This window comes from Homo sapiens, chromosome 7 (genome assembly GCF_000001405.40).
Source record: "Homo sapiens chromosome 7, GRCh38.p14 Primary Assembly".
Classification (NCBI taxonomy): Eukaryota; Metazoa; Chordata; class Mammalia; order Primates; family Hominidae; genus Homo; species Homo sapiens.
Window position 1 is genome coordinate 152,830,817 of NC_000007.14, and position 15,224 is coordinate 152,846,040.

At 45.4% G+C, this 15,224-nt stretch overlaps 1 protein-coding gene across 15 annotated transcripts in view, besides 1 other annotated feature; it reads left to right on the forward strand.

Moving 5' to 3' along the window:
• The window catches only part of ACTR3B (actin related protein 3B), a 95,627-nt gene that overhangs the window by 71,065 nt on the left and 9,338 nt on the right, over positions 1-15,224 (forward strand). The window lies entirely within an intron of this gene.
• Positions 14,879-15,022: a silencer, noted in NCBI's record as "fragment chr7:152542780-152542923 (GRCh37/hg19 assembly coordinates)". NCBI's record gives its function as "represses an EF-1alpha promoter that drives an FKBP-Casp9 reporter gene in an ReSE screen in HepG2 liver carcinoma cells {active_cell/tissue: HepG2}" and the evidence as "EXISTENCE:reporter gene assay evidence [ECO:0000049][PMID:32094911]".

The following is a 15,224-nucleotide window of genomic DNA, read 5'->3' on the forward strand; positions in this document are numbered from 1 at the left end:
GGGATTATAGGCGTGAACCACTGCGCCGGCTCTATTTTTAATTTTTAATGTTTAAGAGTATGTTTAAATACCTTAATATTTGGAGAGAGAAAATCAGAAAAAAATACATATCATTGGTTTTTTCATCTTTTCAAATAGGTCTTTTATTCAGATGAAGTCCTGGTTGAAGTGTAATATTTGAACAGATAAAAAGGTAGCTGCTCTGGTTTGGTCAGGCTAGTGGGCAGAGAAGGTTCCAGAGCTCTGCTCTTTTAGCCCCAGTTCCACACTAATATTCCTCATAACTTCTATTTGATGCTTCCTGTTGATAAATCCCCAAATGGCATGATTTTGTCTTACTGGGAAGGGAAGGCTGATGTTAACAACTGGAAATTGGACATTGACTTGCCCAGCTCACAAGAACATTAAGACACCTGTTGCCGTGGGAGGCTGGTGGAGATGTGGATGGCGGAGCTCTGCCACTGTGGCAACATCGAGTAATGTCAGTGAGCACCTGCAGAGCGCCAGGTCCCACTGCGGGCGCTGAGCAGCCAGGGCATGTCAGGGCTGTGCTGGGAGAGCCGCAAGAGCCCAGGGTGGGCCTCCGTGTGGACAGGAGTGTGAGGATCTGGGTCCGTGCTCTCCAGTGGTGCTCGGTGGTGATGGCAGTGTCTGTCTCTGTGCTGCCCAGGGTGGCCACTGAGCCCCTGAAATGTGACTGGTGCAGCTGAGGAACAGCGTTTTAAACTTTAACTATTGTGAGTTAAAATTGCCATATGTGGCTGATGGCCGTCCTACAGGACGACTCAGATCAACTCAGGTCGGAGTGAAGGCTGGTGTGACCTGGTCAGTGCAGGGAATGCAGCATGGGAGGGGAAGGGTTTTCCAGCAGCAGGATCTGTGTGCAGCACTAGGGTGAAGGAGAAGTAGCGCAATCCTGTGGGTCTGGAGGGAATTTAGCCTCCCTGGACCTCATGTTTGAACATGGGAATGGGGAGTGTGAAGCCTGGGATGCGCTTGGGGCCAGATTACACAGGGCTTATGGGGAAGGCACAGGGGCCAACATTATCAACTGGGGCTCCGAGGAAAGACAGGCATATCCACCTGGAGGGGCCTCGCATGGAGTTAGATTTTATCCTGAGGGTGTTGATGATTTTCTGCAGGAGTGTAATGTGACCCAACTTAAGTTCTAGAAAAGTGCTTGGGCTGCACCAGGGGATGTGGATTGGAGATGGAGTCTGGATTTAGGAAGGCCATTGTAGAACCACGCGGAGGCAGGACAGTGCCCGTATTGGGAAATGGCTGTAGGTGGCTCATGGAGGAAGCCGGGAGAGGAGAGAGGCTCCAGAGCATAGGTGAGAGCTTGACAAGTGGGAGGAAAAGGTTCAGGGTTCTTGCTGCTTATCTAGGAGGGTGGGGGGTCATTTACTGACAGGAGATACAGGAGCGGGGCACCCTTCTGAGGCAGCGGAAGACTAGGTCTAGTTTGGTGGAGATGTTGAGTTGCAGTTGTAGGTTGGAGGCTTTGCAGGTCTGGGCCAGACATAGAGATTTGAGGACCAAAGGTGTGCTCACAGAAATAAAAGGTCTGCAAATGGATGTCACCAAGGGAGAGTAGCAGGTGAGGACAAGACGGCCTTAGCCTGAACCAGCAGAAAGGTCAGGCTTTTAAGGATGAGCAGAGAAAGAAGGGCAGAGAGATTGTTAGTCAGGGCTCTTTAGAAACAGAACCAATAGCGGGTATCTCACGATCTCTTTTTCTTTTAAGAGATGGGGTCTTGCTGTGTTGACCAAGCTGGTCTTGAACTCCTGGGCTCGAGCCTCCCAAAGTGCTGGAATTACAGATGTGAGCCACCACACCTGGCCACTATCTCTATCTCTACATTATCTATAAACTGTAAGGAATTGGCTTGCTTTCAGGCTGGCAAGTCCAAAATTTGTAGGAAGCCTGGCAGGCTGGAAACTCAGGCAGAATTCCTTCTCGGGGAAATGCATTCCTTCTTGAGGAAATCTCAGTTTTTGTTCTTGAGACCTTCAGCTGACTGGATGAGGCCCAACCACATTATAGAGGGTCATCTTTCCTTAATGTTGACCACATCCACAAAACACCCTCACAGCAACACCTTGGTTAGTGTCTGGTTAAATCACTGGGTGCTGTGCCCTGGCCAAGTTGACACACAAAATTAACTGTCACGGAAGTCAAGAAGGAGTCGCCTGAGAAGAGAAAGAAAACTCTAGAAGCCAGGGGGCCCTGTTAAGTGGCACTGAGAGGTCACACAGGATGAGGGTCAAGAGGTAGCCCTTGGGTTCACCACACAGGGGTGAGCAGCCTTGTGAGAGAAGCTGGGCAGAGGCCAAATCACAGCAGTTGCAGGCCGAAGAGGGGGTGGTTAGAGGAAAGAAGACGTGTGGGTAATCCTTGTAAGAAATTTGCCATTAATTGTTATGTCCCTTCCCATCAGGCGGCCGTTGAGGGCTGGACCTGGAGATTGGCTTGGATTTCTCCTAGGACACCGTTGGGTATCATAACAGCCCGTATTTTAGACACAGATTTGTTCAGACTTCGCTGGGATTGCAGTCCCTGGGTTCAGTTCAGCAGTAAAAAGCTCCAGTTCCTAAGGAAGTAAAACTTTTCAAGAACACAATATAGAAAGAGCAGGGGCTTCTAATAGGGCTGTCCTCTTAACCTGTGGTGGTCTTTGGCATGTAAATAGCAGGGAGAGGGGAAGGCGTGTCTGTGAGCGGTTCTTTACCTTGCACCTGCAGTTACAGAGGATGGCTGATAGGTGGCACTGTGTGTCTGTTAAATGGAGTTAAGAAGAGCGCCTCTTAGTATTACAGGAATGAAAATTTTTGTTATTTTTAATACCGCATTTGATATTAAGCACTTGCTGTTAATATAGATTTTATTTCCAATCTTTCTGACATAAATTTCAGGAGATGAATGGGTTACGTGTGGCGTTTATAATGGTATGTGCTGTGACATTCTTTACCAGCATAAAGACAGGGCCTTTCCATCTGCAGAGGTGGTTTAAAATGGAGATTTTTATTTGGCATCATAAAATATACATTTATCCGGCAAGGTAAGGTTGCGGGCTATTGAGGAATTCAGTCGATATAGTGAACTGAATAAATAGACGGTGGCTGACCCCGGGTGGGAAGCAAGGTGTGCCGTGAGACGGGGTTGAAGGGAGGAGGGTGGTCAGAGGTTCACCGAAGAGAACTTAGACTCTACAGATGAGCAGAGTGCATGATTTCCAATCTAAAATTCATGTTCAATTTAGAAAATTTGAGATTTTCTAAATTGTAAAAAAACACTTTTACAAAGGAGAATTTACTCCTTTGTAGTCGCTGTTTTTGTTTTTTTTTTTTTTGAGACAGAGTTTTCGCTCTTGTCGCCCAGCCTGGAGTGCAGTGGTGTAATCTCCAGTGACTGCAGCCTCTGCCTCCTGGGTTCAAACAATTCTTCAGCCTCAGCCTCCCAAGTAGCTGGGATTACAGGTGCCCGCCACCACGCCTGGCTGATTTTTGTATTTTTAGTAGAGACGGGGTTTCGCCATGTTGGCCAGGCTGGTCTCGAACTCCTGACCTCAGGTGATCTGCCTGCCTCGGCCTCCCGAAGTGCTGGGATTACAAGTGTGAGCCACCGCGCCCGGTTGTCGCTGTTTATGTTATTACTTCATCTTTCCCTTTTATTTTCATGAACTGTAAATAGGTAGATAGATATGTCCTGTTGTATTTATGTTTCATATGCTATGTATTAACAGCATTATGTTGTGAGCCCTTTCTTAAGCGATTGAAATTCTTTAAAAACATGATTTGTAATGAGGCCTGATGCTCCATGCTGTGTCTGTTTCGATACCAACTCTTTTTTCTGTATTTAGGTTTTTGACACTCTTCTAGCTTAGGTCAAGATTTATTGCATTACCAGGACATGTATGCTTTTCTGGCATAATCTGGCATACACTGGAGTCTGTAACTAATGGTGCTTTTTGAGTCAAATGATTGTGATTTGAGAATCTGCTGGCGAGTGAAGCAGATACTTTCTGGCTAAAATGCTGACCTGGCTTAGCCAGTTTTTGAATGCGTTTGGATTTCCAGTTGCAGTTCTGAGTGGGCTGTGGGAGGGAATGACTGTGGGCTGGTGTCCAGAAAGTGTCCAGAAGACTGCTGACCGCCAGAACGTCATCCAGGAGATCTGCTGATTTCTCACACTGTATCAAAAGTGATAAGGGATCACTTTGTTTTCTGAATTAAGTGTTTTTTTTTTTAGAATCGATCATATTGGATTTTGGCTTTTGTGGGAAGCGTTTTGAGCAGTATTATTTTTAGTTTGTCGTGGTTAAGAGTATAGGCGTCAGGGCCAAGCCGCGTGGGTCTCCACGTGGGCTGAGCCGCTTCCTAGCATCGTGACTGCACTCATTCCCCAGCCCCTGCGTCCTCAGGTGCAGGATGGGCCAGGCGTAAGCGTCTCATGGAATTATTAGGTCACCCTTACACAGGCTGAAGTGTAGTGCTTGATATGTGATAGATATTACTACAGGCATAACTTGGAGATTTTGTGGGTTCAGTTTCGGACCATCCCAGTGAAGTGAATGGTGCAATGAAGTGAGCCACACACACTTTTTGGTTTCCTGGTGCACATGAAGGCTATGTTTGCACTGTATTATGGTTTAAGTGTATAATAGCATTATGTCTAAAAAACCAGTGTACATACCTTCATTTAAAAATATGTTATTGCTAAAATATGCTGATACAGAGACACGAAGTGAGCGTGTGCTTTTGGGAAAATGGCGCTGACAGACCTGCTTGGTGCCGTTTCCTCAAACCTTCAGTTGGTAACAAACACATTATGGGTGAAGTGGAATAAATGCCGTCTTCTAGTGAGGCGTCCTGACCACCCTGCTCTAGACTGCACCTCGGCGCTTTTTCCCACGTCATTTTGCCCAGCCTTGCTTTATTTTTTTCTCCATAACATTCATCTCCTAATTTGCTACATACTTTAGTTATTTATACTTAATAGTTCTGTCTCCCTACCCGAAACACATCTCAAGAGGGCGACCATTTTGATATGTCAGATTCATTGCTGACCCGTGGTGCTTAGAACACTCCTGGCCCATGCGAGGTGCTCAGTAAATGCTGCTGACCTGGTGAACGAGAGGCACGGCAGGCTATGGGGCCTGGGGGCTTTGCGCTCTCACAGAGGAGTCAGGGAAGGAGGGGTTGCCAGGCTGGTGAGGTGGTGAGTGAGGGCTTTCCAGGCACTAGAGACATCCCTCAGAGATGCTCAGAGTCTGCAAGACCACAGAGATGTGGAGGCCGGAGGGCGGGGGTACAGGTTGGGGTGAGACCTGAGGGGCCTTTGTCTGCTGTCTGGGGGGTTTGACTTTAGATTTGAAGACCAACTCTATAATCTTACTGAAAGAAGTATTTCAAAAGATAGGCTCAGTAAATATTTGTTAAACTGCGAAAGTAAACAAACCTTGAGTTCAGAATCTGATTTTAGGAAGTCATGTTAAGCTGGGTGCAGGGGCTCACGCCTCTGTAATCCCATCACTTCGGGAGGCCAAGGCAGAATTGCTTGAGCCCAGGAGTTTGAGACCAGCCTGGGCAACACAGGGAGACCCCATCTATCAAAAAAATTAGCCAGCTGTGGTGGAACGCACCTGTGGTCCCAGCTACTTGGGAGGCTGAGGTGGGAGGATCCCTTGAGCCCAGAAGGTCGAGGCTGCAGTGAGCTGTGATTGCACCACTGCGCTCCAGCCTTAGCGACAAAGGGACACCCTATTTCAAAAAAAAAAAAAGGTTGGTCTGTGCTCTATAAGCAGTGAAATAAAGCAGTGATGTATGCTATTTCTGTCATTACTTTGAAAACAGTATTAGATGAATAGGGCATTTTAAAATGTTTTGTCTGTGCTAGATTCGCTGATGAGAGCTTTCTTTCAGACTGCTGTGTGGGATAATCTGCTTCTTTTCTGTAAGTAAAGGGATTTTATTTTAAAATGTTAAAATGTTATTATTTATGACATCTTTTCTTTATTTCTTAGAAAAATGTTTACTTACTCTTCCTTGTGGAAATTGATTAAGAATGCAGGCCGGCCTTCATGGCTCATGTGTGTAATCCCAGCACTTTAGGGGGCTGAGGAAGGAGGATTGCTTAAGACCAGGAGCTGGAAACCAGCCTGGTTGACATAGCAAGACCCCATCTCTACAAAAGAAAAATTAAAAAAATTAGCTGGATATGGTGGCATGCACCTGTAGTCTCAGCTACTTGGGAGACTGAGGCAGCAGGATTGCTTGAGCCTGGGAGGTGGAGGCTACAGGGAGTTAGGATTGTACCACTGCAGTCCCGCCTGGGTGACAGAGTGAGACCTTGTCTCAAAAAAAAACAAACAAACCAAAAAAACAAAAAAAAGACACTATTAGGCTAAATGTGTATATTTCTGAGGTACAGAATTATTAGAGTAAGCACTGTTGCTTTACTTTGAGATGAGTTGGAAAGAATACATTTATTGGTAATTTCACATATTTCTCTTTTTTTCTGCTTTTTCCTCACTCTGAAGGTGAAACAAGCATAGGTGATAAGAAACCAAAGCAAATGACGCCTGTAAGCCACATTTAAGCCATCAGAGTAATTCTGGATAGTCACTTGAGTTGAAAAATAATAAGCTCAGACAACGTTTTAATCCTCATAAAAGACTAGTTAGAAAACCAATTTTACTTTGATGCAAGCAAGCTAGCTAAAGTTAGAGAAGGGGTACTAAGAAAATGAGTGGGGACAGTCTGTTCTCTCCTGATCCCGCCCCTCAGCTGCTCGGGGGACATCTCCTTGTGTTTAATCTTCCATCAAGACTCCTGCTGAATACATTTTAGGAATGAGAGGCAGACTCTCAACCATGTCATTTTCTCAGAGAAAATTGGATTGTGTGTTGGTAATAACGGTACCTGTCACACTGAGAAATGGTTTGTCGTAGGCATGGCTGAGAGGCTTCAAACCGACTTTGTTGTGGTTTGCTCTCTAATTTATTTCTTATGTTTTCAAGCACCAGGAAAGGGATGCTGACAGTGTGAGGGGCTGTGAAGCCTGCGAAGTTGGGTCTAGGGCTTTTTCCTTTTCCTTGTATAAAGTAACTTTTAGAATGGAAATAACCCTTCCATTAAAGTGTTTCCATTTCATCTGGGCGAGGGGGGAGGTATGCTTTTGTAGTTGAGTGTTAAGACGAGAAAGGTTTTCCTTGGTTTCAGTTACTGTAACACTTAATTTTTGATTTTCTGTTTGTCATGTGCAACATGGTGGTTGGTGGTAAGAATGGGTTCATTTCTTTTCCTCCAAAGGGACTAAGGATCTAGAACCAGAAATACCATTTGACCCAGCAATCCCATTACTGGGTATATACCCAAAGGACTATAAATCATTCTGCTATAAAGACACATGCACACGTATGTTTATTGCAGCACTGTTCATAATAGCAAAGACTTGGAACCAACCCAAATGCCTATCACTGATAGACTGGATAAACAAAATGTGGCACATATACACCATGGAATACTATGAAGCCATAAAAAAGGATGAGTTCATGTCCTTTGCAGGGACGTGGATGAAGCTGGAAACCATCATTCTCAGCAAACTATCACAGGAACAGAAAACCAAACACTGCATGTTCTCACTCGTAAGTGGGAGTTGAACAATGAGAAGACATGGACACAGGGAGGAGAACACCACACATCCGGGCCTGTTGGTGGGCCTGTTAGGGGAGGGAGAGCATTAGGAGAGATACCTAATGTAGATGACGGGTTGGTGGGTGCAGCAAACCACCGTGGCACGTGTATACCTGTGTAACAAACCTGCACGTTCTGCACATGTACCCCAGAACTTAAAGTATAATAATAATTTAAAAAGTAGTAATGCTTCCTCCATTTCCCACTGTGTCAGATGTAGAGGTTTTTACAGCCACTGACCACTTTTTGCTCTATTAGGAGATGGCAAGTCATTTGACGTTGATTGGCCCTCAAGGCCAGGGTTCCACTTCACTGCTTCAGAGTCTTTCTGTTTGTCCTGGGGAGACATGCTGTGTTGATGGGTGTTGTGTGCTGCTGTGGAGGGGAGTCCACATTATAAGAGGGTTGTTGTTGGGTTTTGAAGTATATCCAGAGGAGCATCCCCAGAACAGCAAGAGTTCCTGAAAAGATGACCGGTGAGAAATGGTTGAGGGAAGTAGCATTGTTTGACTTGCGACCTGGCAGGGAGCATGAGGCTGTCTTGGGACATGTGATGGGCAGCTAGACGGTGAGCAGTGCCAAGGAAAGAGAGAAACCAGGGCCAGGTGGGTACCAGATTTCAGCTCAGCACAGGGAGAGCTACTTTACAAATTGGTCTATACAAGGTGGGGTCCGAATTCTGTGTCACAGGAAGGGAGGCAGTGTGGACTGGTGGTTAGAGCGCTGTGCTGAGCACATGGGCTGCGGGGCGGGGGGTGGCGCCCATGTGTGTTGAGTGCGTGGATCCTGCATGGTGGTGAGCATGAGGTCTGCAGGTGTGGATGCCACGTGACCGAGAGCTTCTAGACTGCCAGGTGTGTGTTCTGCCCTGCCTACTGCTTGTTCAGTTGTGTGACTTTGGCAGGTTACTTGATCTCACTGTGCCTCAGCGTCCTTCTCGGCAGAATGGGGATGGGAATAGTACCTGCTTTATCCCATTTTTGGCAAGGTGAAAGGAGTTGGTGTGTGGAATTGCCTTCAGCTGTGTCAGGCAGCGCGTAAGCACTGTGATTGTATTCCATGAAATGACTTCAAGTGATATTCTGGAATCGCGCTCCACATCCAGGCCAGGGCAGCAGATTCCTCACCCGCTGCGGCCTCTAGCCGATTGACTTTTCTATTTTTAAAGTTCCCAGGGATTTTGCCTGGTTTCCTTTGCTTTTTTGCCCTGAGCAGCCGCTGCCTTTTGGGACTCCTGCACATCTCGGGTTAGCTGCAGAGTGGCACACCACTTCCCCAGTGGCCCTCTTTGCTGGTGTACAGGCACCTTTGGTTTTACTGCTCAGCGCTAACTAGGGCAGGGTTTCTTAGCCTTGGTGCTGTTGACATTTCCATTGTAGGATGTTTAGCAGCATCTCTGGCCTCTACCCACAAAGTGCCAGTAGCACCTTCCCACCCCCACCCAGTCCTGACAATCAAAATCATCTCCAGATGTTGCTTAATGTCCCCTGGAGGCACAATTGTCCCTGATTGAGAACCCGCGCACTAGGGAGAAACATTAGGAGGTTACCAGAGTCCAAGGACTTAATCAGAAATTGTCAGTTATTGTTTCTGGTTCTTGAGTTACTTGCTGGAGTCTTTTTTCCCTTACTGACCCCCTTTTATTCCAGAGGGTAGAGCAAGTGAAATGCTCCTCGTTCATTCCACGATGCCTGGGGAGGGCCCCTGCTTACCGAGCGCTGTGTGTAGTGGCGGCTTCAGGGAGGAGTGGACGGACCGGGTGTAGACCTGGCCCTGCTCCAGCCTCTGCATGGCCCAGGGCGGAGAGGGCCAAACAAGAGAACCCACTGTGCTTGTCGCCGTCCTGCCTTCCCTGGGCCGGTGCTGACGTCATTACCCTCTAATTTCCCCTCAGACCTGCGAGCGGCCTGGTGATGTCTTCACAGATGAGGGCGTGGGAGCCCACGGGTGGGGGGTTTGCTGCTTCTTTCAGGCCCCAGCACCAGACAGCGGGGGGAGTGTGAGGCCTTTGGGCATCCCCACCTGGCTCCAGGGAGTAGGCTGGGGTCAGATTGTGAAGGGCTCCGAACGCCCTGTCAGGAAAACGGGGTTTCTACTGCTTTGTCTTCTTAAACGCTTGTCTTCTGCTGGGCTCTGCTCCGGCAGTTCCATAGAGCCTGTCACTTAACACTTGTATGTTCCTTTTAGACTGTATTCCACCCTCCACTCTCGCTCTGGCAGGTCCCCCTTGTCCCCTGAAACTTCTGCTGTCGGCGGCGGGGTGAGGGGAAAGAGTTGCAGCCGGGAGTCGGCCCCATGGGTGGTGCAGGACGGCTTAGGGCCGGGCGGTTCAGGGGCTGCTGAAGTACGAGCCAGCTCCCTCGACCTTGTCCTTGGGAGGCGCCGTCCGGGACAGCTCTGCTCTGGCCGGCCTCCCCCAGGACGTGCCCACACAGGGACCTTTCTAACCGCAGGCTGTAGTTCTTCTGTGGATAGAGATAAAGTTCAGTTCAGTAATTCTAGGCTGAAGCTCAACATGATGAAAATGAGAGCACTTTGCAGCATTAATGTAGAAACAGTATCTGGGCAGAGCTGGCGGGAGACATGTAGGACGGCAGCCTGCCTGGTGGCGCGTGTGCAAGAGACCTCACCAACTCTGCGTTCTTACAGATCCGGAACCCGCTGTGTGTGCCACATCCGTGTAGACAGTGGACGTGGGGATGTATCTGCTGGTAGTTGTCGTGTTCCGAAGCTCAGGCAGGAGCAAAACACGAGTTTTAAACCTGTTATTTGGCCTGGGGCACAGAAGCTCTCGCTTTCTCCCAGAGTCCTCTGTAAAGTGTGTCTGTGTGAAAGAGGACATTTGCCAGTGGGGAGGAGTTGGGCTGGAGGGTGGGGACAACAGGAGTGTATTCAGAGGGCGGAAGGAACAGGGTGGACCGTTACTTTGGGGAGGAGTGAGTAGAGATCAAGGGTTGTTCCTTCTTAAATAGTAAAGGGTTTGTTGAGTTTACTGGTTCACATGAGAATTTCTGAACACAAAGCAAGGCGTGGAACTAGGGTGGGAGCTGGAGTTTGCTTTTAGGAAAGGCCTGGAAGTATAGTGCATATTGTTTTCCTGTTGTCCATAGCAACTATGGGGGATTCAATGTTAAAAATGTTAAAATAAAATTGGGCGACTTGGCTCAATCTTATGTCCTCACACAGTTACAGAACATTGAGAAATGAAGAGTTAGAGACTGTACACATTGGCCAAATGTACACCCTCTTTAGGGCATCTTTCTTCTCATTTAAGTCCCCGATGCCACCTTTTCAGCAAGGCCATTCCTGCCCTCTCAACTCAGAGTGGCCCCTTGCCATCACTTGGTATTATGTTGCTCTGTTTAAAAGGTTCAACTTTGAGATATAATTTATGTAGAGTCAAATGAACCATTTTAAATGTACGGTTTGAAAAGATGTGACAAGTTTACATACTTAACGTGATAATCACCACAGTTAAGGTACAGAAGGGAACCATCGCTGGCAGAAGTTCCTCAGCCCCTGCTCCAGGAAGGCACCCATCTGCTTCCTATCACTGTAGATGGGATTTGACTTCCCGAAGTTTCATATACAGGAGTCCCTTCTTATCCATGGGGCATGCGTCCCAAGACCCCCAGTGGATGGTTGAAACTGTAGATGGTACCACACCCTCTGTATACGATCTTTTTTTCCTGTACATACATACTTTTGATAAAGTTTATAAATTAGGCACAGTAAGAGACTAGCAGCAATAACTAATAATAATATGGATCAGTTATAACAGTGTGTTATACTGAGTGACTCAGGGCAGGTGGCATATACGGTGTGGACATGCTGGACAAAGAGAAGAGACTCGTGCCCTAAGCGGGACAGAGTGGGACAGCTCGAGATTTCATCATGCTTCTCAGAATGGTGCGCAGTTTAAAACCTACAAAGTGTTTATTTCTGGAATTTTCCATTTAATCTTTTCAGACTGTGGCTGACCATGGGTAACTGACACCGTGGAGCGGGAGCCGCAGATAATGGGGGGCTGCTGGAAATGGAGTGCTCCGCGTGTTCTCTGTTTCCGGCTTCCTTCACTCGGTGCTTTTGAGGTGTGCATGTCATTTGACCCTTCTTTCTGCTGGGAGAGCCTCAGCGAGCGGCTGTGCCACAAGTCAGCCGTCCCCTGCTGGTGGACATTTGAGTTGTTTCCAGTCTTAGCTATTACAAAAAACCCTGCTATGAACATTGGAAATGTACTGAGTGTCTGCTGGATATGTTTTATTCTCCTTGGGAAGTACCCAGGAGTGCAGTTGCTTTGTTGTATGGTAAGTTTTTCCAAAGTACTTACAGCATCTACCCTCCCACCAACAGTGTACAAGAGTTGCAGTTGTTCGTCTTAACCCAAACTTGGTGTGTGGTGGATTTAAGCTGTATGATCCTGATGACAAATGTTGTTGACTGTCTTTTCCTGTACTTAGTGGTCATTTGTATATTTTCTTTTGTGAAATGTCCGTTTGAATCTTTTGCCCAATTTTAACTGATTTGTTTATTAAGTGACAACTCAATAGTAAGAGTTCTTCAGATATCCTGGATACAAATTCTTTGTCAGATTTATGTGTTGCAGATTTTTTTGCTAGTCTGTGGCTTGTCTTTTCATATTCTTGGTGGTTTTTGAAGAACAGAAATGTATGGAAGCCCATTTATCAACTTTTTTCTTTTATGGTTCATGCTTTTTTATGTGCTAGCTAAGAAATTTTTGCCTACCACAAAATTACGAAGTTTTTAAAAAATGGTTTTTCAAAGAAATTTTGTACTTTTAGCCCTTACATTTAACTCAGTGATAAATTTTGAGTTAATTTGTGTATATGAAATGAGAAAGTAAATAAATGTTCATCCTCTCACTCCATGGATATCAATTATTCCCACATCATTTGTTGAAGAAGACTGTTATTTCCCTATTGAAGTATCTTGATGACTTTGTCTAAAATCATTTGACCACATATGCATAGCACTGTTTGTATGGTTATGTGAATAAAAGAAATGAATTTATATAATGCCTTTGAAGGAAACTCAAGATCATGTAATACTTCTCAAGTATTATAATAAACATTTATTTTCATACCCTACTGAATAATTTTTTAGTTAAAAAACCTATTACAGAGACATGACAAGTAATTGCACAGTCTTACCCTGCACTGGACTCTGGACTGGAGAGAAAAAAATACCTTAAAGAATATTAATAAATCAAGTAGCAAAATGGGAATAGGAACAGCAGATTAAAGTTTTGTATTAATGTTAAGTTTATGAAGTTGGCAGTTGTACTGTGGTAACGTAAAAGAATGTTCTCAGTTTTAGTAAATACACACTATTTAGTAGTAAAGGGCCATGATGTATATAAGTTACTCTCAGATGCTCCCCGCTCCTAGATGTGTGTGCATGTGGGAGGGGACAGAATAAATGCATGCAAACGATAAATAAAAACACTCTACCAGAAATGTTAACAGTAGGTAAATCTGAATAAAGAGTGTATCACTTTTGCTGAGCTTGAAATTCTTTCTAAATTAAAAAATTATTTATTTTTATGTTTTTGAGATGGAGTTGCCCAGGTTGGAGTGTAATGGTGCCATCTCGGCTCACTGCAACCTCCGCCTCCCAGGTTCAAGCGATTCTCCTGCCTCAGCCTCCTGAGTAGCTGGGATTACAGGTGCATGCCACCATGCCCAGCTAATTTGTGTATTTTTAGTAGAGATGGGGTTTCACCATGTTGGCCAGGCTGGTCTCTAACTCCTGACCTCAGGTGATCCGCCTGCCTCGGCCTCCCAAAGTGCTGAGATTACAGGCATGAGCCGTCACGCCAGACCTAAAAAACTTTTTTTTAAATAAAATGTTTTTTTAAAAAAATCTATTACATTAATTTGTTGGCTTAATATTTGCCTTTTACATAAAAGTGGAATTTAAATGTATTAAAATAGCCATAATAGTGATTTAAAAAAATCTAGGTTGTTAGGCTTACGTTTATTTGAAATAGAAATTTATCTGAAAACTAAATGGCCATTCTAGATGTAATGGTCATTTACCATTTCAAGAAACAAAGTTTTATGATGATGTCGTCTGTTACAAATTCTTTCTTATTGTCTGAAATCCAGCTCTCAGTTTGGCTGGGTAAACTGGCCTTTTTGAAGTTTTCTGAGGATAAATTTTATCTCTCACTATCTTTTTGGTGACCTAGTTTGATTACAGTGGTAAAAATTATTACAGAGCCTTATGCACAAGAGCCCATGTATGTCTTAAGGAGGTGGAGTTACTGTTCAGTTTGGGTATCACTCCAAGGATTTAATGTGAGTCTGATTGTATTTGTTAAGTCCTCTTTTGTATTTGATCTATTTTCTACCACAACAAAGTCAACAGAAAAAGCCTGTAATGCTACCAGATACAGATTATCTACTTCTAGGCCAGAAGTAAATCTGAGAGGATTTAGAGGAAATTAGTACAACCGGTGAGCTCTCATACAGTGGTCGACCTGGTTGGTGAGACCATCTTGTCCACTTGCCATGGCCAAGTGGGGTCCGTTGCTGTCTTATCCACCACCTGCAACTGTGAGTGTCTTAATCGACTCGGTTTAGGGACTTTTGTTTTCTTCAACTTGTCTTTGCTTTGAAGTTTTAATATACATTTATATACAGTATATGCTGGGTAATATAATATACGTTATAACCTGGACTCAGAGCACCCCTCAGTTAGTGTTTTCATTTTTTGCCCTTTTTCTGTCTCTCCTGTTCCACATTCTTCTCATTTGCTGAGTACTTTCTGAGCTCATGATGTTCCTTTCTGAGTTTTCTAACTTCTCCAGAAGCACCTTGATGGCACAGGCCATCCCGAATCTTGCCAGTATTCATGCAGTGTTGTCTTCAGGTTTTATTTGTTGCCTAGTTTTTAAAGTTCACTGTCTGTGGCCACGCTGATGGTGCCCATGCAGAGTGCTGACCGCAAGGAGCTCTATTCCGTGCTGAGCTGGACACTTGGAGCTCCCATGACGTTTCACGGTGAGGAAGCAGGGATTCTGAATCGCAAAGGAGCAGCGCGAATGAGGGCTGTTTGGCCTCCGCCTGTTGCTGGGTTGTGACCTCCCTTCACAGAATCTCTTGAGATGGATGCCACTCCTGAAGTGACTTGGCTCTGTTTTAGGGGCCTGCTCGTGGGGTGGTGTGTGCAGCTCTCCCGGCGCTCAGGAAAAGTGGAGTACAGGGACACCTGAGGGATGATCTGCCATCGGCCAGGGCCCTGCCTGCCTTAGCCCCCGCTGAGAGCTCAGCATAGTCGTAGCTTCCACCTGCAGCTGTCTTCCTGAGCATTTTCTTAAGTGAAAATAAAGATTCAGCCATGAAATGATTTTTGTTTTATTTATTTATTTTTAGTGTAGGAAACAAATAGAATTGCTTTTTAGAAGAAAAATCTGAAATGAATGCATTTAAAACATTCAAATGATTGTTATAAAGATGCAGATCCTCAGAATGACAAAGTATGTGTTTTAAAGTTCCCTGTTT